Source organism: Homo sapiens, chromosome 6 (assembly GCF_000001405.40).
Source record: "Homo sapiens chromosome 6, GRCh38.p14 Primary Assembly".
In the NCBI taxonomy this organism is placed as follows: Eukaryota; Metazoa; Chordata; class Mammalia; order Primates; family Hominidae; genus Homo; species Homo sapiens.
Genome location: NC_000006.12, coordinates 83,683,329 through 83,709,420, shown reverse-complemented (window position 1 = coordinate 83,709,420; position 26,092 = coordinate 83,683,329). Strand labels below are relative to the sequence as shown.

The 26,092-nt window shown below is 38.1% G+C and overlaps 1 protein-coding gene across 72 annotated transcripts in view, besides 3 other annotated features; it reads left to right on the top strand.

Annotated features, from left to right (window-relative positions):
- SNAP91 (synaptosome associated protein 91) overlaps positions 28-26,092 on the top strand; it is a 156,509-nt gene continuing 130,444 nt past the window's right edge. For 21 of the 72 annotated variants that reach the window (NR_164844.1, NR_164845.1, NM_001376723.1 and 18 more), the window contains exons 1-2: positions 320-576; positions 1,464-1,623. Coding sequence is in view for 59 of the 72 variants with exons in the window: in NM_001376717.1 (NP_001363646.1) it covers positions 1,494-1,623 (130 nt within the window). In the remaining 13 variants the exon portion in view is untranslated. Of the gene's footprint in view, positions 300-319; positions 1,182-1,463; positions 1,624-6,494; positions 6,533-16,913; positions 17,032-18,984; positions 19,199-23,197; positions 23,294-26,092 lie in introns of those variants that run through there. The other 51 variants (NR_164843.1, NM_001376739.1, NM_001376736.1 and 48 more) reach the window with 13 other exon arrangements.
- Positions 48-107: a silencer, noted in NCBI's record as "silent region_17360". NCBI's record gives its function as "represses an Ori minimal core promoter by ATAC-STARR-seq in GM12878 lymphoblastoid cells {active_cell/tissue: GM12878}" and the evidence as "EXISTENCE:reporter gene assay evidence [ECO:0000049][PMID:35858748]".
- Positions 438-647: a silencer, noted in NCBI's record as "silent region_17359". NCBI's record gives its function as "represses an Ori minimal core promoter by ATAC-STARR-seq in GM12878 lymphoblastoid cells {active_cell/tissue: GM12878}" and the evidence as "EXISTENCE:reporter gene assay evidence [ECO:0000049][PMID:35858748]".
- Positions 1,057-1,351: a silencer, noted in NCBI's record as "tiled region #13924; HepG2 Repressive non-DNase unmatched - State 22:ReprW". NCBI's record gives its function as "represses a minimal TATA promoter and a strong SV40 promoter by Sharpr-MPRA in HepG2 cells {active_cell/tissue: HepG2}" and the evidence as "EXISTENCE:reporter gene assay evidence [ECO:0000049][PMID:27701403]".

Below are 26,092 nucleotides of genomic sequence, written 5' to 3'. Positions count from 1 at the left end.
GGGCAGGTGTGCGTGGTGCGCGAGCCCAGTGCGTGCCGGGTGCGGCGCCAGCAGCGGAGGGGCGGCCCGGCGCCCAGCGGAGAGCCGCTGGCTGGGTGGGTGTCGGCCTCCCCGCCTCCTTCTTCTCCCCGCCGGCTTGCCGGGGATGCTTGCGCGAGGCGCCCCCTCGCCTTTAAGCTCCCGGCCCCGGGGGGCGGTGTGTGTGAGTAGCTGGGAGGGGGCCGCGAGGCGCTCCGCCGAGGGCTCGTCCGGGTTTGTCCGCCGCCGTCACCTGACTCGTCGGAGGAGCCACAGCTGAGGTGGGGGCGGGGATGGGGACGCAGCTCGGAGCGCTAGAGAGACGCGGCGGCGCTGGCAGAAGAGGCGGCGGCGGGCGGGTACTGGCTTCTGGGGCCAGGGGCCAGGGGCGGTGGGCGCCGGGACCGCGGAGCTGAGGAGCGGGGCCCGGCCAGGGCTGGAGACTTTGCGCCCGGGGGCACCGGGGCTACGCGCGGTCGCACACATCCACCGGCGCGGCTTCCCTCGGCGGCCCGGGCTCCGCTCATCCTGCGGCGGGCGGCGCCGCTCAGGGGCGGGGTGAGTACCCGCGGCCGTACTCGGCCCCCTCCCCGCGCCAGGGTCTCGCGGGGATCCGCAGAGGATAATCCCAGGGTGCGGAGAAGGGCAGCGGCCGAGTGACAGCTCCGCGGAGCGCTCCAGGGCGGGCGGGGGACTGGGCTTCGCTGTCAGCCCGGCTCCTCTCCAAAGCCAGGAAGGGTGAGGCGCCCCAAGACTCCGGCGCCTCCGCAGAGCTCCCGGGCGGCCCCTGCGGCAGGGATTTGGAACCGGGGGGAAGGGGCCCGGGCGATGGGCCTCGGCGAGGCTTTGGAGCCGGCGGCGAGGAAGGAAGGGGAGGCGAGGGCATAACATGGCGCAACGCTAGGATAATCTCCTTCGCGACTGAGGGAGGACGAGCCCTTTGCTGCAGCAGCGCGAGGAGGAGGAGGGAGGCAGCCAGGGCTTGGGTATCCGATGCATTCCCCGAAGCCTGCGGGCTGCTAGGAGGAAAGTCTGCTGAGGTGGGAGATGGGCACCGGTGGGTGCGGCGCCCAGGGAATAACCCCAACGCACGTTGTGGCTAGTCCAGCACCCGCGGGTCAGGTTGCGGGGAAAGTGCTGATTGACAGGGGGGTCCCCAGGGGGTGAGTCTGGCCCTATGTGGGGGCCGGGGGAGAATGGGGACGGTGTCACGATGCTGCGACTGGAGCCCACGCTGGGGTTCCGTGACGGCCCTACTCACGGCCAAGACTCCCTGGACCGCATCGCAGGAGCGGGGCTTGGCGCGTTGCTGGCTCCGAGAGGTGGTGCCAGGGTGGGGATGGAGGAGGAGAGAGCCGCCGCGCGGCTGGAGGAGGCAAGGCCTGGGTGCTTGGAGGGTAGGGTCTGCGGATTAAAGCCGGACCGTCTCCCCTTGTTTCCTGCAGAAGAGGAGGCGGTAGACGCGACCACAGAAGATGTCGGGCCAAACGCTCACGGATCGGATCGCCGCCGCTCAGTACAGCGTTACAGGCTCTGCTGTAGCAAGAGCGGTCTGCAAAGCCACTACTCATGAAGTAATGGGCCCCAAGAAAAAGCACCTGGACTGTAAGCATCTCTTTATATAAGAGGGACATGCGCACGGCAGAGGCGCCTGGGATGCTGGTGGTGCGGCCTGCGCTCTTGGTCCATAATGCTGTGGCCTCTGATACTCCCAGCCAGGTTGCCCCTGAGCTGAAATTCTTCAGCTGTGAAGGTGTTCCCTTGGGTTAGCCATGAAACCTTGTCTTGTGAGCCATTTTTTCCTCTTATTGACCTCCAAGGTCTTGGTGGAGGGGGAAAAATACACACACACACACACACACACACGCATATGTATATACACACACACAAGAGAGAGATTGTACACACTGAATTAGATGTTTTTCACCTTTTTTTCTTTCTCCACCCACCCTCCCTTCTCCAAATTAGAGGAAATTAGAGGTTGCACAGTCAAAAAAAAAAAAGATGAATTTATGGAAGGTCAAACTTGTCACCCTAGTTCTTTCCTAAATACATTTCAGATAGTTCTAAGGTAGTATAATCTTTTTAAGTGTTGCTCCTGAGGATTGTTTTTGTGAGTATGGGTGTGTGTGTGTGTGTGTGAGGTATGTTACCATACCAAACTGAAATAAATTCAAGGTACTGAATGAGGAAATTGGACTTCATAGCTATGGCAATTTCATTTTACACATCCTGGCACACTTTGTCCCATTCTCAGAAAATGCTGGGTGAGATGACTATGCTATGGTCACAAAATGGATGTACTTCCCCAGCATCTGAGATGGTGCAATTTTAGATGAAACCGTTTAATTCTTAATATTATTTTTGTAACTGGTTATTTGATGGAAAAGGCTTTATTCTACTCTGGAATCTATATATTTCTGAAATACCTTAATTAACAGTAAATCTTTTGTCACCGAAGGATAAACAGAGGCACTTAGAAAAGAAAAAGGCTTTCACCTGCTTTGGGTGGTGAGGTTTCTCATAAGTCAGGCTATATGAGTGTATGTTCAGCAGTTGCTATTTAGTTCTCTTGACCTGCTTAGGATCTTCTGTTCTATTGTGATGTTTTTGGTAAAGGTGAATGTTGGCATGAGAGACACAGGTATGGCCACAGCCATTTCCTCAGCTGGCTTCCTTTGCCCATCTTCTGGGTTTTTTTGGTCTTGGGTCTTTTTCCTGCTATTTCCTTTGTGCAGCTAAGAAAATGGCACCAGTGTCAGAATTCACTCTAGCCCTATTATCTGCATAAGCGAAGCTTGATGAAGCTTACAACTGGACATTGTAAGAGTTGTCCAGCCTTGTGAACCTGTTGTCTCATAGAATTGAATAATTTTGTTTCTAGAAGCTCATCGGAGGGGAAAGTACCATTATGCCTTTCCCAAGGGAATGTTTAACTAAATTTATTGATTACAGCATTATATGTTATATATGCAGTACAGGATGAAAGAGGCCACCAGGGCCAGGGCACCTAAGAGAAGTAGAAATTGTAAATTTGTGACCAGATCACTTTGCTGCAGCATGCTGAATCATTTAGCCATTTTCCCATCAGTTTCCCCAACTCTGGAAGAATGATTCATGTCTTAAAGGTATATATCAGTCTAGAAAATCCTCATAATAAGAAAGGTATAGGTTATGAATTTGCTACATGCTGATCTATAATTAAAATGATAAATCAGTATACTGATATATTTCAGAGAACATTCACAGGTTTGAACATTTCATTAAAACATCATTCAGATAAAGGCTGACTTCTCCAGATCTAAATATTTAGTCACATTAGTATTTTAGTGGAAAAGTCTTTTGAAAATTTGAAGGTAGGAGGTTTTCCAATATGATTTCTAAGATGTGGAAAATAGGGGGAAGATTCCATGTTATAAAAGAAAGCAGCTGAAATAGGAACTGGTGTTGAATTATTAATATGAATGGTCATAAGAGCTGAACATTTATTGAGCAGTTACTATATAGCACGAACTGAACTTTATATTATTAATCTTTCATCACTTAATGGGTTCAGGGAGGGTAATTAACTTTCATGGCTTTTTTTTTTTCTCTTTGTGAGATGGAGTCTCACTCTGTCACCCAGGCTGGAGTGCAGTGGTGCATTGTCGGCCCACTGCAGCCTCCCAGGTTCGAGTGATTCTCCTGCCTCAGCCTCCTGAGTAGCTGGGACTTACAGGAATGCACCACCACGCCTGGCTCATTTTTGTGTATTTTTTTTAGTAGAGATGGGGTTTCTTCATGTTGGCCAGGCTGGTCTTGAACTCCTTCCCTCAGGTTATCTGCCCACCTTGGCCTCCCAAAGTGCTGGGATTACAGGAGTGAGCTGCTACTTCCCCTGTCCAAACTTTCATAGCTTTTAACCAGTACACTTAACTGCCATCTGTAGATTAGTAATATACTTTATTGAGAGAGGAGAGAAAATGAACCATATTAACCTAAATGGTCTAATCTCTAAAACACCCACCTTGCTTGCATAGCTTTCTGTGGAATTGAGCATCAAAATCCGCGTACATATTGCAGTCTTTATAATATGCATGAAAAAATTTTAATTCTATCATGAAAAAATTGAATGAAAATATTTTAATTCTGTTGCATAAAAAAATGACCAAAAACCAAGCACTGAGGAGTATTGGTTAGTGGTTTTTCTTTTTAATGTTTTACTTTTCTAATAAGTCATAAAATAAAACATCTTCTACTTAAAACCAACTTTTGGATGGAATTTGGAGACATAGTTATCACATTACTAATATGTACTATTCTAAGAGAAGATGATATGGAAAACCTGAATGTATATGTTATATGCATTATTAAGAGGACATCTTTGCTCAGAATTCTTTGTGAAGTTCCTTTAAAGAAACAGTAAACTACCTCAGTAATTTATTCACAGGTTTTCAGTAAACACCAGTTATAAAAGTGAATTGTTATTAAAACATGCAAACACATAATTAAGTTTCTTTATAGGCATTGAAGATTCTCAAGTAGTTGGTGTTTTAGTTTTGAAAATATTAAATACTGGTTGGGAGAAAAAGAGCACAAAATATAGAGTTTGGGGGTTTGAAACAAAAACAATTTCAATTTATTACTAGTTTGATTTGTATATAACTTTTTAGTTTGGAGTTTAGATTGGAAGATTATAAAAACAGATTTATGGTCCTGTCATTTTTTTTTAAAGGTATTGGATTAATTGGGCTCAAAATCCTTATGAAATATGTATTTAATATTAAGGTACTGGTTTAAATGATAAATTCTTTTCTCTTTAGGTTGATAGGCCAAGAAAATTATTATTGTTAGTCATGGTGACTTATAAAATGATTCTTAAAGATATATGATTTATACACTTGAAGAAATGATTTGTTAACATCTGAGGGCAGAATTATATCTGGTGAAAAGGTCGAGATGAAGAAACTATATACATTTATTCCCAGATTTTTTTTCTTTTTTCAGTGACAGCACCTAATAATCTAAGTAAGGATTATATATTTTATGGCACTTTTGGATTATGTAAAACTTTCTTTCCATACTCGACTATAGTGATGTTGCCCTTTGTATGTGAAAATTAAATACCTAACCAATATTGGTTTGACATTAACTTTTCTGGGTCCACCTGTACATCCTCGCCTCCTTTCCCTTGTAACTTTTTGTACCTATTTGCTAGCATATAAAACATCCAGGACTCAATGAGTATTTACCTTTTTAGTTACAACTGTTTGACACTTCAGTGTTGTCTGTTTTTTCTATTTTGTATGTGATGCCCTAAGGGATAGCCCAAGTCAAATAATAAAGTAAAAAGATCAGGTAGTAATAGGCACCCAGTACCTACCCAGTATTGTGTCAAGCTTGAACAATAAAATAGAGTTGGTCCAAAGTAACATCTGCAGGTGTAAATTGGAAAGTTTTGCAGCCCTGCCATGTGATTCATTTCAGTTAATAGTGCTTATGAGTGATTTCTATATATGCTACATTGTTAAAGTATCCTATTTATGATAATCAGAATTCAAACCTAGACATTACTGTTAACATCAAAACAAACCTTATGAAAAGCCAATTTGGTTTTCAGTAATCCTATTTTTTCCGTATTAAACACTTGAAGCTATTTAGTAATGAGCTTATCCCACATGAAAAGCAAGTGCTTCAAGTTCTGAATCTGATGTTTGAGAGATACTAGAATTTTACTAATGATTCCGTTCCTCCCAAATTATGAAAAAGAAAAAGATTATGTTTCTTATAAGACTATCTGGTAAAGGTAGTAGGAGACATGTACTGAGTTTTGATTCAAGACAAATACTGGCACATCAACCCAAATTCCTGCTGCTTTAATTTTATTCATAAAGTATCTGCAAAAAAAGTAAGAAATTTTGTGAGTAAAAATAGAACGAAAATTTAAACCTAAAAGTGAGTTTTCTTTGCATAAATGTGCTTAGTAAATATGAAATATATTTTAATTCATAGAAGTTCTGTTAGCACACTAATTCAGTAGACACCATATATTTATATTTGTGATAATTTAGTAGGGCTTTCAGTAAGTGCTGAAAGATCCAAAAAGTAAGCAAAGTTTACTGAATAAAATTAAGTAGAACAATGTGTAAAAGATTACTAAACACTAGAGTAACTTTGAATTTGAGAAGTGTACTAACTTGCTGTAAATATATTTTAATCTGATTTTTGTTTTCATTTAACTATTAGTTTAAAAAAAAAAAAAAAACACACCCTCTCACTTTACTGTACCAGAACATAATCTGTTCCTTCCTCTTGATTTTACCAGAAGACCCAGCCCAAGGGTGAAGAGATGGGGGAGATGCACTTCTGAAAAGCATTTAATATGATTATAATTCATACCATACATGTGTAATGGGCCCAACGTGTGTGATTCTGTGACATTCTCGAAGATGCTCAGTGTCCTAGGAGGGGAGAGAAGAGACCATGTGATCAGGGTTGGCAGGAGCAGGGGAAGCAGAGTGACAAACAGTCTTAGGTAATAGGAGGGAGCATGCTTTAAAAATGACACAAAAATAATTAAACAGAATTTATAGCAGCTAGTGGAACAATAGGGGTTTTTTTTCCAGATCTTTTTACTTTCTCATTTTCAAAAGAATCTTTTTTTAATGGTATAATGTTAAATATATTTGGGTCACTTTAGATTTTTTTTTTTTCAGTTTTTGCAGTTGGTGTGGTTAGCAGATACTTTCTTAGAATAAAATTGATAACTCAATTTGATTTTTAAAAAGTTGTTTTAGTGATTTAAAATGTTGATATGGAAAAATATTAAACATTATATAGATAGTAGGCAAATTCATATCCTAATTGCAATATTAGCTTGTAGCATTTTAAATTAAAATCTAAATTTCTTGATATATTGCCACATTAGTTGTAATGTTTAATAAATGGTGGTTAAAGATTTATTTGTAATTTAATCTGTGTACTTAGTTGCCATGGACCTCTCTTTTAGCTTTTCATAAATAAATATCCTTTAATACCTTACCTCCTCCCTTCAATTGACTGATGCTGGGATAGGGTGTTCTTTGGAGCTTATCTTGGTAAAGAAGGTCAGAAGTGACATATAACCCTATTCCCTAGGGGCCGAGGGTGCTTTCCTTACAGAGTTGTATTTTAAGTGAGTCAACTCCTGAGCCAGCATCTACTAAGAGAACCTTCAAACATAATCATAGTGCATTTAAATAATTTGAAAAATCAAATTCCTTGCCATTAAAAACATTTATCCTTAGTTTCATTTCTTTTATAATGTTTTCTCTTTTTAGAAAAATGTATTGTTTATTTATGAAGGGGAATGTTGGCTGTGTTTTTTCTTAGGCATTTATGTAATGTGGGAGTTACCCTATTTTTTTCTTTCTCACCAAGGGAAGATTGGTTGAATGGTATACCCTGTGTCAATTGCACAATGATTTGTAAGAAATTACGACTCTTCCTTGAAACAATTGGGTGAAAGCACAAACCAGAGACAGTTGTACCCTGAAGCCCACAGTCTTTCTAGCTGTTTTTCTGCCATCTCTTCATTTGTCCCAGATGTGTGAGGATCCTCCTCTTCCTTGTGTACAGACAGAAGCCTTCTTTATTATTCATTTTTAAGGAGGATCTAGCATTTTCTCAAGAATTTTCACCAGGCGCTGTGGCTCACGCCTGTAATCCCAGCACTTTGGGAGTCCAAGGCGGTCAGATCACCTGAGGTCAGGAGTTCAAGACCAGCCTGGCCAACATGATGAACCCCGTCTCTACTAAAAATACAAAAAAGTTAGCCAGGTGTGGTGGCAGGCACCTGTAATCCCAGCTACTCAGGAGGCTGAGGCAGGAGAATTGCTTGAACCCGAGAGGCGGAGGTTGCAGTGAGCCGAGATCGCGCCATTGTACTCCAGCCTTGGGGGACAAGAGTGAGACTTTGTCTCAAAAAAAAAAAAAAAGAATTTTTGATGTGTCATTCCTGGCTACTCAGGAGAGAGAGAAGCTAGGTCTCTCCCTGCTTGGTGTAGTTTTGCTTTTGGGTCTCACCATTTGATTTTTCTCCTAGGCTTAGCATTTTTTATTTTAAATTACAACTGTCCTTTCTACATGAGTTATTCTCTCTGTCATCTCTATCTTTAACATCTTCTGTCTCTCTTATAAGTATTTTCAAGTATCTCCATTTAAAACAAACAAACCACACACATGTCTCTTTGGCCTCTATTATCTTGATAATAGCTTTTCAACAACCAACCTGTCATTCTTTGCTTTTTCTTTTTTCCCACAATCAAGCTGCTTGAAACAGTGTTTTACTCACCATTTCAAAGAAAACAGACACAACTGTACCCCTCTTTAAATATTCTATGTCTTTGAATGGCATAATTCATGCATGAAATCTTAGAATTGCTATCGGATGCCAGGCATTGCCTACTCAATTGCCCAAGTCACTAACTTGAGAGTTATCCCTCATCCCTCAAATCCAGTGAGTGATAATTATTTAAACACCCTCTGAGCTGGATGCAGTGGCTCTTGCCTGTAATACCAACACTCTGGGAGGCCAAGGCAGGAGGATCAGTTTAGCCCAGGAGTTTGAGACCAGCCTGGGCAACATAGGGAGACTCCATCTCTATAAAAAATAAAATAAATTAGGCATGATCATGTGTACCCATGGTCCCAGCTACTTGGAAGGCTGCAGAGGATGTCAAGCCTGCAATGAGCCATGATCATGCCATTGTACTCCAGCCTGAGTGACAGAGCAAGACCCTGTCTAAAACAAAGCAAAACAAAACAAAAAACTATCTGAAATCTCTTTCTTTAGTTGTCTTCTGCTTGATTTAGATCAGTAATAAGCCTCATCTGTAAAATGAAGATTAATTATAGTACCTACTTCACTTTTAGTGAGTAATGCATAAGATAATGCATGTAAAATACCCAGCTCAGAACTTGACACACAAATATGCAATAACAATCAGTTATTAATACCACTACTAATAATAAACATTACTAGTACTATTATTGCTGCTACCACCAGTATAACAATTCCACATGTATTGCCAGTGATTTGGCCCTTCTTCTCCATGCTTCTTTTTGCCCCCTCCTTTTAATTGTATCAGTTTTTCCTTTAATTCCAACTTTCTCTTTCTGTAGTTTGGAAGGCATATATACTATTTCTGTTCTTTTAGTGATTAGTCTTAAAATTTTAATATGCATATGTAAAGTCTGAAGTTGATCAATATCTCTTTTTTCTTCCCACGAAAAGAAATTTAGGAACTTTTAACTTCAATCACCTACTTCTGTCTTACGTGCTGTTATTATTCAGTGTTTTTAATTCCACTGTAGTTTTAACCCCTAAAGCTGTACATTATTATTTGATGAAGGCAGTGTTTACTTAGATGTGCCTACCTTGTAACTGACTTCTTTGCTCACCATTCCTTCATCATATATAAGATTTTCTTGAACTATATCCTTTTCTTGAACTATATTTTGAGGACAGTGTATCTGTATATAAGATTCTAGAATGACAGTTATTTTCACTTTGATAACATTTCAGTCATCTGCCTTCTATTATTGCTTTTAGGAGAATTTATCTGTCTACCTGTCTTTAGGTAATTCCTTTGTTTGACGGGGGCTGCATTCAAATCTTCTGTTTGTCTTGTCCTTCTTTAGTGGATGTGTGTCTAGATGTGGCATTGTTTTTTGTTTATTCTATTTGGAATTTGTTGGGTTTTTTAAATCTGAGAATGTATGTCTCGCATCAAGTCTGGAAAATTCTCAGCTTTTCAGTTATCATTGATTATTGCTTATTCTCATTCTCTTTCTTTTTATGTCCTTCAAACATGATTAGAAATATGTTAGACTTTATTACATCCGTATAAATCTAAATATACCTTTTGTATTTTCTAATGCTTTCTTTTCTGTTCAGCATGATTTGTTTTTCAGATACCTTCTAGTTCATTAATTCTCTGTTTAGCTGTGTCTTGTCTGCTTTTATGCATTCTTGGTTTTTTACTTTATTTATTTATATTTTTTGTTTTTGAATTTTTTCAAATTTGCCCATTTTCTGGATAATGTATGTTTCTTGCTAACATTTTTGAGTTCCTCTTTTATTTCTTTACCATTTTAAACAAAACTAATTTTATATTCTATATTTCATAGATCTATCACATGAAGTTCTGTTTCTATTGTTTTTGCCTGATGTTCAATCATGATTCCTCATGTGTTTTGTAATTTTAGACTCTGAGGTCATGTTGGCTAGTACTTCATTTGTGGGAATCCTAGGGAGCCTGGGGTCACCTAGAAAGATTTTGCTTCAGAGAGGTTCCACAGGTGCTGCCATTCTGAGAGCACCTGAAGTTGAATTATGCCCTTGGAGCTTCCCATCCAGTGCAGGTCCAGATCCATAATCCTTATCTGTAATTTGAAAATTAAAAATGCTCAGAAAACCAAAATTATTTTTGTAAATCATTTCATAGGAAAAGTTGACCATATATAGTCTTTATATACTGCCTATCATGATGAGTCATATGTTAAGCTATAAAAATATTGTCATATTATGGTATGCTGTTCAGATTATAGTGAGGTGTTACTTAATATATGATGTCTGTACCATAATACCTTTGTAGAATCTGCAAACTCATGAACTCTGAAACATATATTGCCCTAAGGGTCTTAGATATTGGAGTGTGGATCTGTAGTATAAATTTGAATCACAGAGTTCATCGGGGGAAAGCTATGCTTACAAATGCCCCAGATATTTTTTTCCCTTATCTACCCAGAGCCTAGGAAGAGCAGAACACATTTTCCCTCGTCTCCTTTTGCTGAGAGGTATTCTTTTTTGTTTTTGTTTTTCTCTTAATTTTACTAAGGGAGTAACCCTTTGAGGATCCTAGCTTTATATGGTGGTCTTAGTTCCAACTAGTCACCTTGCTTAGTCTCAAAGGCCTTGTCCCCTGTTCCCCACAGGGCTGCTAGAATCTAAGACTCTAAGCCACTTAGATTAACACATGACTTCAGGGCAGTCTCCTCTTCAGTATTACTTTACCATGTGGTTTTCTGCAATTTCTTTCTTTTTTTTTTTTTTTTGGCCTTGGAGATTGCTTTTATTTTCTTGTGAGTTCATCTAAATGAGTGGAAGGATGCCTGTAATATTTATCCAGGTTATCAGGTGTTTTTCCCTTGATAGTCCACCTGTATGCTAGATGTGGAACCAGCCTATTTTCCTATTCTTTGTTTTTGCCTACACACACACACATACCCCACAGTTCATTGCTGAACTACTTTGAAACATTCGATTCACTATATTCTGCATTACTTTTGGGCCTTTGCATGTGCTGTTTTTAAGTTTTAATATATTTTTAAAATCTAATTTCTAAAACTCTAGTTTTAGGCTTTCTTTTCAGTGCCTACATGGCCCCCTGTGCATTTGTTTCTTTCATATCCCTCCCAGAGCTATAGTGGGATTCTCTTCAGTGGTTGTTTTCTTCCTCTAGTCTGTAGTTTCTTTGAGACTGTCTTATTCCTCACGCCAAACATAGCATGATAGCAGGTTTTGGTAAATATTTATTGAATGATTTTTATTATGCTTCATATTTCCCTAATTTTATACCTTTGTTTTCTCATAAACTTTCTACTTAAAAATTTTACTTTTACCCAATAAACTTCGGAAGAGCAAGGAGTTAAACTCAATTCTTTCTCTCAAAAGACTATAAAAGCAATAGAAGTGTAATATTGGAGGAATACAAACAAATAAACATTAAATTACTTAATGTATATAATTAATGTGTATTTCCTGACATCCTCTCAACACTTGCATGACCATGATCTGACAACGATTTAATCTGGGGAAAATCAGAAAATTGATATTAAAAGTTAAAACAATGAGAAAATTGGTAAATTTGAAAAAAATGTTAGATTTTAACAATTATATCCATAATTTTTGGGTTGTGAATTTAAAGCATATGTGGACTTCTCTCAGTACATACCATTAACTGTTAGATATTAGATGGTTAAGTATTAGTATTAGAGAAAATCCTTTGCCGGCATTGTGTGTGTGTGTGTGTGTGTGTGTGTGTGTGTGTGTGTGTGCAGCTATTTTCTTTAGAGTTGGATACAGTTGGGCAGCATTGTTTTTCAATATTCATTTTATAATTTATAACTACATATATTATACCTGGTTAAGATAATTACAAAAGAAAAACAATTTCAAAAGTGACTACACACTTTCAATATTCACTGAAATGATAGTATTCACTAAGTTATTGGTGATACTATTAATTAACGTGATAAAATTTCCATTAACAACTTGGGGGCTTTCGACAAGCAGTAAGGAAAGGGGGCAAGATTAACCTAAAACTTAGGGTTCTTTTGCCTTTGTAAAGAAAGCAATAAATAACAACATATTTAATTTTATTTTTAATGACCTACTTGGAAAAATTAGAAATTGCTTTCAGTACTGAGTCTTTCACTAGCTTACTTAGCACAATCCCATTATTATTCATTTAACAAATATTTGGATAACTTCCAAATGCCAAGAATTGTTCCAGGAAACAGGGATACCATGGTGAACAAGATATGCATGGCCTTTGGCATCAGAGAGCTTGTGACTTAGTAGGGGAGACAGAAAATTAAAGAAATAATTACAGGTGATTCAAAAAGAATTCAGTTTTAATAAGGAAGGTGAAGACTACAGCGGAGGCACTTTGCAGAGGAAGAGATGTTTAAGCCCAGACTTAAAGAATGAAGGGTACTTAAAGTAGGTGAGGTGTGAACAAGAACTGCTGCAGAATGCTGTGTAGGAAGAGGCTCACAGAGAGCAAGGCACATTTTAGGAGTATGAAAAAGTTGAAGGTTGCTGGACGAATGAATTTAGGAAGACAGAGAATGTTAAGAAATAACACCAAGGTTGTAGATGGCCTGAGATCTGCAGGGCTTTTTAGGCTTAGGAGAATCTTAGAAGTTGATCAGCCTTTTCATTTTTATAGATGAGTGAGCTGAGTCCCAAAGTGGCAAAATTATACTTTCTGTATGTGTTAATACTGAATGATTCTTATCTACCTATCTTGAATAGGTGCCCTAATATGTAATTGCCTTGTTCACCTAGTTCTGATTGTTACATCTAAACCAGTGGATTTCACTGTAATATCGCTATGCACCTGGTTAGTGTCAAAGTGTAGAGCCTACAGCTCTTCCAACTTCTAGCTAAATAATTCAGTTAGACAATGGCTTCATGTAGTTTTGTTGTTTTTTTCTCCCTAAAACATCTAGGTTGCAGTGTGTTCATGTTTTTCTGGCCTCTTCATTATGTATTTTAACATGTAACATTCTGGTTTTGGCTACCCTTGAGTGAGCATGACTGTACCCATGGAAGTTTCCATAGGAGGCTGATTGGAGACTGTGCTAATGAGTGGGCTGTGACCAACTGTTTAACATATGCATCTCCTCACTGCTTTGTGGTTCTTTCCCACCCCCCTCCCCACAATAATTCTCATTATTGTTCCAAAGGAGTTGCTTAATTTTTAGTTATATTTTATTGCATTTTGTAAAGGACTGTGTTCCTTGGTGACATAACTGTGCCAGTGGTCTATTCTATATATATCTTAATGGAATAGAAATTTGACTTTGGCCCCTATTGTAGATTTTACTAATCATTTCGTAGGATAGTGCTGTGAATTAAGAAACAAGTGTTTTTTCAGTTCAGCTCAGCATTACTTTCTCAGGTGGAAAAATAGTATGAAGCGAGCACTCAATTGCTGCAAGTGTAAATGGGTATAAATATTTGGGAGGGTGGGTTGGCAATATTAATCAAAACCCTTGAATATCCTTTGACCAGCAAGTTGAATTCTACAGCTTTATATCAGGTAAATAATTGGAAAAATGTTTTGTTTCCCCCAAATTTGTTGCATCAATGTATATAGGAGAATGCAAAATTGAATATACCCAAATACTTTTTTTAAAATGATAGTGTATTCAAACAATAAGATACTGGCCAACCTTGAAAAATGAGCTTGTTAAAGTATATTTGACATGGAAAAGAAAATTTATGAGGTGTGATCATAAATCCATAAATCACAGTTTTCTTTCTTTTCTTTTCTTTTTCTTTTTCTTTTCTCTTTTTTTTTTTTTTTTTTTTTTTTGAGATGGAGCCTCACTCTGTTACCCAGGCTGGAGTGCAGTGGCTCAATCTCGGTTCATTGCAACCTCTGCCTCCTGGGTTCTGGTGATTCTCCTCTCTCAGCCTCCCTAGTAGGTAGGATTAGAGGCTCATGCCAACACACCCAGCTAATTATTTTATTTTATTTTTAGTAGAGATGGGGTTTCACCATGTTGGTCAGGCTGGTCTCAAATTCCTGGCCTCAAGTGATCCGCCCACCTCGGCCTCCCAAAGTATTGGGATTGTAGGCATGAGCCATTGCACCCGGCCCCACAGTTTTCGTTTTTTTAAAGTATGTGTACGCCCATAATTTTGGAAGAATATATGTCAAAATATTGTCTGTCAGTTGAAAGATTTTTGTTTTCTAATTTATACCCGTATTAGTCATGACTGTTGTGTTGGCAGGTTACAGGACCATAGATCAAAATAGTTTTGGCAAAAAGAGAAGCATTTTGGCCCTTGTAACCAATATGAGGAAAAGGCAGGGGTGAAGCTTGACCTCTCTAGTGCTTGTTCAGGATTCTTCCTCCACCCCCTGTTTCGCTTGTTTCTGTTTCACACATTAGTAGTGAAGTACCTATTCCATTCTTGAAGACTTTTTCAGTGATTCTGAACTAAAGCTCCCAGGTTCACATTATCATAGCCTCACAGAGAGAAATGGGTTCTCTTCCTAGAGAGAGAGTTTTCCAAAATCATAGGGAAGAATTCTGATTTGCTTAGCACAGGTCATGGTTGACCCATGTATATGGCACGATATTATGATTGTCAGTCTCAACCAGAACTACATTGTTGGGAATACCAGGAGCTAGTGGCATGCTACAAGCTTAATTTTTTGCTCGTATCATGGTCTGCCATGGATGGCTCCTCCTTTCTAGAAATTCTGTCATCTAGAGCTTCAGAGTCCTCCACTGTCATCTATGCATCTGGCTGACAGAGGGAGACAGACAAAAAGGGGAGTATTGCAAGAGAAGATGTAGGTCCAGGCCTAAATATCATTTCTACCTGTATTCCATTGGCAAGAAATCTATTAATGGCCTCATCCAAATGCAGGAAATGCTGGAGATGAAGCCTAGTTGTGAGTCCAGGAGCAGAAGGAAATGGGATGTGAATACACAGCATTCATTCTATCATGCCCATGGAAAAGGAAATTAGATTATAGTTTTTTCATCTGTAACTTAAAAATACTTCTTTTATGTCAGTGGACTCACTGCATATTCCTCCATTCTTGGTAGACATTGCAGATTAATCCTGGCACTCTTTTCTGCAAAGCTTTGATTTTGCCTCAAAATGCATCCATATACAGTGCTTTAGATTGTCACTGTCAATCAGTGTTGACACTTAAGATGAAATAGACTTGCTATCCCTAGTCTAGGCAATTTATCCATGCTGGATACTAAAGCAAGCTGCTCACTAGATTTACATAGACCCAGAAATGGCATTCAGCATGGATGGTTCCAAGCTGGGATTCATCTGCCAGTGGCCTTATCTTTATAAGCTAGTAATTCAGTGATTTGTATTGTTATGCCCTAGGGAGAAGTTCTTCCTCTCTGCTTGATAGCAAAAGGTAGTTGTTCTTGATTTTACATTTTGCATTAGTGGAGACAGTTATAGCTATTGTGAGACAGGGAAAAGACATTTTGAATTTTGCATTTAATATTTAAACTTTCTTCCAGCATCGCGTCTGATATTAATCAGTTGCCTTAAAATATATCTAATGCAAAGCATATTAGTACCCAAGAAATTTTCTTTGAGTTGCCACTTAGGTACCTACATGATTATAGTTTCTTTTTCAATTTAAAATAATTTTTTATTCAATTGTTTGATGTATGATACATTAGCAGTCTCTCATTCACTACAAGATTCAAGTGAAGAAAAAATAAAGGCGCTCTTTAGAGTGAAGGAGAGGCCGATGTGTGGAGCACTTACTGTGCCTGGCCCATGTATGTGACTGATTGACTTCATCTTCACAAAGCCCATTAGTTAAATACTCTTATTCCCAGTTTACAGAGGAGGAAAACAATGCCCAAGGAGGTTAAGGAATTTATCCAAGGTCCCACGCCTAATGAGGGGAGGAGTCAGGATTTCTTCAGCGGTCCTAACTGCAAGACTTATGCTTTTTTCTTTTACATAGTGATTTTTGTTTGTTCTCTGTCTCTAGTGTCACAGGTAGCAATAATCAAAAGCAAAAACAAAAACAGTTAAAACATCAGGCCCAATGTGGTGGTACACATTTGTAATCCCAGCTACAGGGAGCCTAGTAGTTTAAAACCCAGCATGGGCAACATAGTGAGACCCTGTCTCAAAAACAAAAAACAAAAACACACCACATGACCATATGATTGTTTTGGGAAGGAAAAATGGGGTGAGATCCAAAGATAGCTAATTAACTAGATGGGTAAAGCTCTGTGAAGGCCCATCTCTAGCTAGTAGGGAAAAAAGTGGAAGGGGGTGGGTTCAAATGACTGTCCTTGAGCCAGTCTCACCCCTCATTAGTTATGTCTTTTGATGATTTGCTACTGAAGCATTTATTTTAACATGCTTGTTAATTAAGGACCTTGGGGGTGGTGGAAGGTACAGCAGAAAGGGCACTGATTTGTGATCAGAGTGCTTAGTGTAATTCCAGGCTCTGCTGCTTTCTGCCTGTGATCTTAGCTACATTAATTTAATTTCTTTAGACCTCAATCTCCTCTTTTATAAGGCATCATGGGGTTATGGTAACATTTAAATAGGTAATTTTTTTTTTTTGAGACAGAGTCTCGCCATCTTGCCCAGGCTGGAGTGCAATGGTGAGATCTCAGCTCACTGTAACCTCTGCCTCCCAGGTTCAAGGGATTCTTCTGCCTCAACCTCCTGAGTACCTGCGATTACAGGTGCGCTCTACCACGCCTAGCTAATTTTTGTATTTTTAGTAGAGATGGGGTTTTGCCATGTTGGCCAGGCTGGTCTTGAACTCTTGACCTCAAGTGATCTACCCACCTTGGCCTCCCAAAGTCCTAGCATTACAGGCGAGTACATTTGTTAAAAATGGCAGTAACAGCAACAACAAACTTCAATCTTTAATTACTCTATAAATTATCGTTATTAGAGGAAAGAGCCTTTCAGAATCTAATAGTTCTTTTCATAGGTATCTTTCAATACTGTAAGCAGAATAGATATGTACAAAGAGCTCACCCTCAGCTGCTCTGGGCTTATCTCTGACATCTGCTTGAGAGATGATAGTTTATTCTAGGAAGATAAGAGTACAGAATGGGGCAATTATGCCTTCACTGTACTGTTTCATAATTTATTTGTTGATAAATGTTGTAATTATCAAAATATAACTTATACTTTATTAAAATCATCTCCTAAAATCAAATAAAAATGACTTTGGAGTGTCTGTTATGGCTTTCCTTTATTAGTATAGATTGTTGAGACTTGATAGGTTTGGACTTAGCATTTTTTAGATATTACTTTACACTTTTCAAATATTTAGGTTTTTGTTAACGAAGATTATTGCTTCTTTAAGAAAATAATGGTGGTTGTCCATTGAAGTATTTCAGATACATGGAAAGCAATAAAGAAAAACATATATGGAGTGACTTTATTATTGGGCCTGGGTTCTTCGTGGTCAGCATCGTATACTATTCTTAGGTTGGAGCTGAAGACGTAAATGCCAACAAGGAGACACTAAATATATTTGCATTGAGCACTAATAAATTGCCATTGAGGAACAATTTGTAAAATATTTAGAAAAAGAGTTGATCTAGTAGGGAAGTTAATTAGAAAATGACCATCAGTAGTTGTGGTGAATCTCGATATACATTGTATATACTAACAGTGAAATATATTTGGACTTTGACCATTTTAGTACTAATGAAAAGGCAGACAAGACTGAGTAGAACCATATAACAGAATTTAGTTAGTAAATAAGGTTACTGATATTCATTGTTTGGATTGAAGATGTTTTGAAGAACTGTTAGTGGATAATTTAATCATTTTAAATTTTACATTTAAGAGTTTAGTCCTTATAGCTAACAGTAAGCTATGTAATTGTGGTTAAGAATTTATAACATTTAATAAACTAATTTACCAGGTACAATATAATTTTAGGGAGGTTATAATTCATAGAGCTTGTCAAAATCTTAAGTAGGTCATCATTAAGAGCTATCTTATTTTTAAACATTTCATATGTGTTGTTATGTATTTCCTAAAATTGCTACAATTAGCCAGGCTCTATTTAAGAGTGTGAAAAGGGCAAATGTCTACCTTGACTTAGAGGTACCATTTTTGAGTTAAACTTCATCAGTAGCAAAGCATTAGACTTGAAATGCATAAGAAATTCAATATTAGCAATTTCTACATCATAGTGTGATTATGTATACCAAATTTTGCATATCTTATCTAAAATGGTGTTATAGTGTAGTTTAACTAATTTTCCTTATATTTTTTGAAAGTCCTTAAAAATATGCCTTTCTTACACTAATTAAGTAATAATTTTTAGACTGCTATTTAGTATAGGAGCTAATCTAATACTGCCCATCTCATTTTTCTTATATGTGAAGAGTTAAAAATTGAAAGGTCCTAGAGCATGAGATATACAAGCAGAAATTGCCCATTATAAGACTTACCTCTCTCTTGTGAGCTAAAGATTCATTATTCCTGTTTCAAAATTTATTCCTATGGAAATGCATCCGATTTTAGTAGGCTTTCTCTTTCTTTAGAGGTACGTTAGTCAAAATGGATATAACCAACCAAACAAAACGCTTGTTCAATGTATCTGTTGCTTTAGCAGAGAGTTGAGTATTTTCTTATTAATGTGTAACTGAGCTGCATTGTTTTCGTAGACCTACAAACCTTCTTTCAACAAGTGCTTCCTAATTTTGAGATCTGAAAGTATGTTCCAGCATCTTTTGAGTCATACAACCAAAGTATGAGGAGATCACAAGTCTTTTAAAAAGTTGTGCTAAAGGAGAAATACTTCAGAAATATGTTACATTTGTTTTGGATCACAGTATTATTTATTTCTCAAGAAGAGATTTGTTCATCATAGTAGTATTAGTAAGTATTCCCTGAAAAAAATTCAAATATTCAAATTAAGTTATTGCTTTCGTAACCATAATCATTAGGAAAACTCTCAAATGTGATGCTCACTTTTATCCTGTGTTTATACAAATTTACTTGAGAGGATTTTTATATTCAACAAAAATGCAAACAAGATTTTAACTCATTGTTCAGCAAAAGGGTCGAATAGGAAAAAATCAAGATTAGTAAAAATGTTTTAATTTATAAAATGAGAAAAAGTAAATGATGAGAAATAGAAAGGAAATAAAAGGAAAAAATGAGACAATTATAGTAATATACTTAAGATGAAATTTTATATCTTGAGAAAAAGGTAAAGAGTTAAATGTCAAAATAGAATGTGTAAGATAGAAAAGAAAGGAATGCAAGACTGCTAACATGAAGAAATAAAATGTTTGGAAACAAATTTTTGGCATGGATTAATAGAAAATTATAAGGATATTACCATATTCACAATCTTTGAGGAGTGATGTCAAAAATTATTTAATGAATTTTTTTCTAAATGCGTGTCCTCATTCTTTTCTTTACTGTCTTCTCTTTTGATTTTTGTACTTAGATTATGGAATGAAGGGAGCACCATCATACTGAATTTGAATTAATTTTTACTAGGTATTTTTATATTTATCTCAAAGTTATTTGGAGGTTTTCATTTTTAGTGCTTATCTTGTGTTCATTTTTACTAGTAGTCTACCACTTTTTACCTTTTTTTGTATGAGTAAAATATATTAAATTTCATTTGTCATAGCTATATTCAACTAATTTTTACTAGAGACCATAGTATATTCTCCTAGGTGTTAGTTTTCTTGCTTTTATGATTTTATAATTTGTTATGAAAACAAAAACAGAATTTTTAATTTTGAGGGATTAATTGGATGACAGTTTGAAAACTGTGCTATGTAGTCTCATAGACATGTTATAAAGACCTCAGTATACTCAAGTATAAAGAGATAGCTGACAGTTCACGAATCATAATGGCTGCTCTGTTATCAAGCTGTTTTGGCCTGCCACCAGCTTCCCTTTCTTTGGGTGGTCCTAAATGTCTTTGTCCCTAATGTTGCAGATGGGATAGCAGAAGGTTTCCTAAGCCCCACTCTGAGCCATGATGGGTGGCACACCTGATGGCGAAAGATCTTAGAGCATAGACACCCTTGCTACTTCTAAGCAACACTTAATTTCACTGGGGGTTGGGGGTATAGGTAAGCAGAGGGTCTTGCACGAACTTACCACTTAGTGAGATGATGTAGGAAAACAGAAAAGACACGGCAGCCTCTAGTGGGAGCCTTATAGCAGAGACATATAAGCAAACTAATAATAACATGCCATTATAAGTGCTATCGTGGTGGTATGACTGATATGTTTTGAAAGCACAGAAGTGGAAATGGCAAATTTTGCCTGAAGATAGTCAGGAAAGGCTTTTTAGAAATGGTGATGTTCACTTTGGGAGGCTGAAGTGGGTGGATCACAAGGTCAAGAGATCAAAGCCATCCTGGCCAACATGGTGAAACCCCGTCTCTACCAAAAATAAAAAAATTTAGCTGGGTGTGATAACATATGTCTGTAGTCCCAGCTCCTCAGGAGGCTGAGGCAGGAGAATCGCTTGAACCTGGGATGTGGCGGCTGCAGTGAGCCGAGACTGCACCACTGCACTCCAGCCTGGCAACAGAGCAAGACTCAATCTCAAAAAAAAAAAAAAAAAAGTGATGTTTGGCTGAGTATTGAGGGACAAATAGGAGTTTTCCAGACAAAGAAGCATGACTAGACATGGCATATTTTGTATACAGTAAAAAGAAAGGAAGGTTGGGGCTTTGTAGAAAGAATCACTGATGTCAGCCCTAAGTTTTATTTTATTAAGCAGTGAGAAGCCAATGCAGAGTTTCAAACAGTAGAGTTCCATTATTACTTTTATGTTTTACAAATATACACTGGTTATGTAGAAGATGGCTTCATTAGAGCAAAAGGAGACTAGATAAAAAGATATTAGGGTGAGTCAAGTGAGAATAAGAGCCTGAATAAGGAAATAACCAAGGGAATAAAATGGAGAGACTAGATTTGAAAGGAAATTCTGATGCAGAGGCTATGGGGTCATATATGAAATGTAAGGGGGAGAGATAAGAGACCAGAGAAACCTATATTTTAATCTTGGCCCATAATGGAGTCAACCTCCATGGGTTTGAAAATATTTTTAGATATCTCACGCTCAACACATCCAGGATTGAACCCGTGTCTTCCACGTCCCTCAACCTATCTTATCTCAGTCATCCACCTCTCGGTAGATAACAACTGCATCTATTCAGTTGCTCAAGCCAAAATTTTGAAGTTGCTTGACTCCTTTATTTCTCTCCTACCCCCATTTCCTTCAGTCAGTCAGGAAAATTAGTTGGCTCTACCTGTCTACAAAATAAATATAAATCCTACAATCTCCTCTGCCCCTGCTAGTCCCAGTTTTCATCATCTCTTACCAGGACGACTGTGATGGCTGCCTGATTCTGCTTCTGTCCTTCTCCCGTTCCCAACAAAGTACTCTTAACACAGTAGTTGGAGTAATCCTTTCAAACATATTTCCAGCCATGGCACTGCTATGCTAGTAACCCCCATTTCACTCAGCCAAACTTTCAAAGGGTTTATAATGGCCTTCCCAAATATCTGGATAAGTGAATGAGTGAAGTGGCCTCTGCCCGAGATGAGCTTACACTGGAGAGGGAGAAAAAGGAATATATGTAAAAAGAAAATCATATTATTAATTATTTTTAAGTTCTTGGACACACCGTGATACAAGTATAGTTTAGAAATTCTAAACCACTTATATTTTAGTTGAATTTCAGGTGAATTTCATCACAAACATATGGCCCATGTAGGATATTATTATTCTTATATCCTGAAGGACATGAAATAATTTGCTGCCAATTTTTTCTTAAAACAATATTTTCATTTTCGCCGTATTAGGTAAGAATAACTAAAACCATACAGTAAGCATAAGTTCATTTGAAGTGACTGATATTTTACCACAAATCCTCCTGAACACCTCACTCTATCTATATTACAAGAACTCATCAAACCCAAGTATGAGATTATCAGCAGGCTAAAGGGTTAACAGCTAGGTTGCATGAAGCATAGGGTACCTGGCTAACTGTAATCAAATAAGTCATGTTAAGTCCTGTATTATGTCCATTTCTCAGTACCAAAACTTAATAAACTTGAGCTTTATGAAGGACTTACATTTTTATATAAAAATTATTATCCAAGAAAACCAAAACCTAAGTAGCATAACTTTCAGGCCCATCAACACAAAAAGGCATTATTGTTAATTAGCAAGAGTGTACAGTTAACACACTGGTAACAGTGCCTCTCTTTTTTCCTAATAGGCTTTATAGAAGTTGGCATTCATCTTGTCCTTCCTCAGTTGTACTCTCATGGGAAACAGCAGTAAAGAAAAGTTTGATTATGGTCTACTAATTGAAATTAGAATTGGTAAATTTAGTGTCATCCATTGAATCATTCTGTTAATCCAAATGGATATAATCATTGGCATAAAAGATGTTTAAGCTGCTGTGTATTACACTTGAAATTTAGCTGAGCCACCTAAAGCACTAGATAATATAAAAGTATGAAAGTGATTATTTTCCCATATAGTGGCCTGGGCCCAAATTGGGCCCTAAATTTCAGTAATTTATTAGCTGAATTAGTCACCAAAGACCTACTAGCCACAGTTTAAAGCACAAATCTTTATAAGTGCTTTGAACAAAAGAGACTCTTCCTTAATGTTTAAATTTGAATAAAACTCCTTACACTCTACCCTTGATTTGTTGTTAAATACCTCTGTAGCCAGTAACTCTTAAAAAACTAAGTAGTGAATTTTATTGAGAGTTATATAAATATTATCAGCTTATTCAGATGAGCATTCCATGTCACCAAAATAGTGCTTAACTGAGTAACCAACTATTACCTGTGAGGGTTCATCTAATTTCGTATGTTTTGCAGGCCCGGTGCAGGAAGAACTCAAGTAAAAGACAAGAAAAAACAAAAAACAGTGTTGATTGTGGGATATTAAGGAAGGCTAGAATTTAAGCAACTGAGGTAAAAGCAGAGTATGTTCCAGGTTCACAACAAACATTTAATCAGTGTCTACTGTGCATCTACTGGTCTAGACGCTTGGGGTACCTTAATGAACCAAACAGCTGAAAATGCTTTCCTTGTAGAGCTTACATGTGAGGTAAGGATAAGAGAATCAAAAAGAAATAAACAAAAAGGTAAGTCAATTGGGTAATATGTTAAAGGTGAAAAAAAAAGACCTATTTTTTTAAAAAGATGGAAGCACAGATATGGGAATGCATTCGGTAGAGCGTTGAATGTGAGATAAAGATGACTGGATTTTCTTTGTAGGTGATTGGCTATTGAAATTATCTGGAGCAAAAGAATGATCAGCTCAAAGAGTTGTTTTGAGAACCTCAGTTTTGTTTAATGCACAAAGGATTGGAGAGATGGGAGATCTACTTGATAGACTGTCTTAGAAGTCCCGAAGCAGGTTCTGCAAGGTTGGTAGGAGGTGGTTATAGGGAAAAGGTTAGAGTTGAAGACATGAAGAAGTTCATACCACTTAGTATGGTGTCAACATAGGAAAAGGCAAGGGTCAAAGATAACAGAGGTTCATACCCTAGTTTTGCCCCATAGAATTATTAAAGAAGAAATTAAACAGTGTGTTATAGTCTTACAACCTGCTGAAATTAGTGATTATTCTTATGTTTTCCTAACTTTAATTATTTTTAATGACAATGGGATGGATGTTTTCTGACAAGGAAAGCCGAAGTATTTATTATTTCCTTATTTTTCTCTCTTAGTCTGTGCCAAACAACACAGCAGGCATTGTTCCTGCTACTTCTAGCTTTTTGCCAGAAGCAGGATTTTTTCCATTATGGAAGGAGGCCTGGACCCCTGAACTGTCAGGTGTTGCTATATTTATGGGTGGCACAGAGGGAGTTTTCCCCAGCCAGCAATTATACTCTGAGGGTGTGACCTGGCAACTGTGTTAACATGGGGTATATTCTGACCATTCCTTTAACTTTCTTAAAGCATAAATACTGGGACTGTGGTATCCAATCATAATTCTTGTCTTGTTTAGACACTGAGGGACAAGTTTTGCTTCTTTTTCTAACAGGAACTTAGATCCATAAAGGAGTATGTTCTTTAAAGAGAATTTTAACAAGGTCTGTGCCTATATTGAATATTCTCCTCCCTTTTTTGCTACTTGTTGGTTATCTTCTAGGAAAGAGGCACAGATCTTGGTGTTGTAACTCATTTTAAGAATAATTGTCATGGCTTTCTCCCTCCATCTGTTCTTTTGAAAAAGTGGAGTCATTGCAGCATGGTTCTAGGGTTTCTTGTAACTGTGATTAATGTCAATGTGATATTAAATAGTTTCTGATTTTTTAAAAAATAACAGAGCTCCAAGACTTGGAGCAACTATTACAGGTTTTTAAGATAAGGAAAAAGGAGCATTTATTATGGTTCTCTCAAAAAAGACTTGTTTCATATCCACTATATTTCAGGAATTTTGCTGGTGAAGCAAAGCTTGCATTCTAGTAAAGTGCACAGATATGTGAATAAATCTTCATGATATTGTGAGATGAGCTATAAAGGTGTATACAGAGTGTGACAAAAAGGACTTTGTTTGGCAAGGTCCAAGGAAGCTTGCAAAGAAGGTATTATATGAGCATCTAGGATGAATTGGAGCCCACTCATGGACAGGTGGAAGAAGAAAATGCCAGGCCAGGGGAATAGCGTATGCAAACACATACAGTTGTGAAAGAGCATGGGGGTTCTTGTTTGCAAGCAGGTTGTGTGTTGTATGTGAAGAAGTAGCAGGAAGTAATGGAAGGTGGGTGGCAGGAGGTCTGTGTCAGCCTTTCCCAACCCATGTTCCTCATCTGAACCATAGAATTCAGAGCATGATTTGAGTGAATATTTTCTTAATTTTTTCAATGATGGTATTTAATGCCAGTCCAGATGCATGAAAGAGAAGTTAACTTCTTACATATAATGACTGCTTTAGGGTATTGGGAAACCCAGGTTGAAGGGGACTAGATTGTATGAAACTATTCATTTCATCAGACATAATCGCATTTGTATTTAGAACTATACTTTTGAGAGCTGATTAAAAATAGAAGGAGAAAAATGGCAGGGAAACAAAGGTATGAGGCAATTGTGATAGTGATCCTCACAGAAGATAGTTCGAAGATTATTAACACAGAGCAGGGAAACTGTTCCAGAGATTTGTAGGAGGTAGTATCTGTGTGGTGTGGTGGTTGACTGAACGTGGAAAACAAGAAAGAAGACAAGGATGATGCTGAGCTAGAAAGCCAAGGGGCCTTTGTGGATGGTGGTACCATTATCTGAGCTAGGCAAAGTCGGTTTGAAAAGAAGGTAATGATTTCCATTTTTGTCTTACTGATCCATCTTAGACTATCCAGGTCTACTAGAAGTATGGGCATGGAAGAGATTGATTAATGTGTTAGTCCATTTTGTGTTACTATCAAGGAATACCTGAGGCTGGATGATTTATAAAGAAAAGAAGTTTATTTGACTCATGGTTCTGCAGGTTGTACAAGAAGTGTGGCGCCAGCACCTGCTTCTGGTCGGGACCTCTGGAAGCATTTACTTGTGGTAGAAGGCAAAGGGGGAGCAGGCATGTCACATGGCAAGAGAGGGAGCAAGAGAGAGGAGGAGATGCCAGGCTCTTTTTAACAATCAGATCTCCCATTAACTAATAGAGAAAGAATTAACTCATTACCGTGAGGACAGCACCAAACCATTCACGAGTGATCCACCCGCAAGGCCCAAACACCTTCCATTAGGCCCGACCTCCAACATTGGAGATCA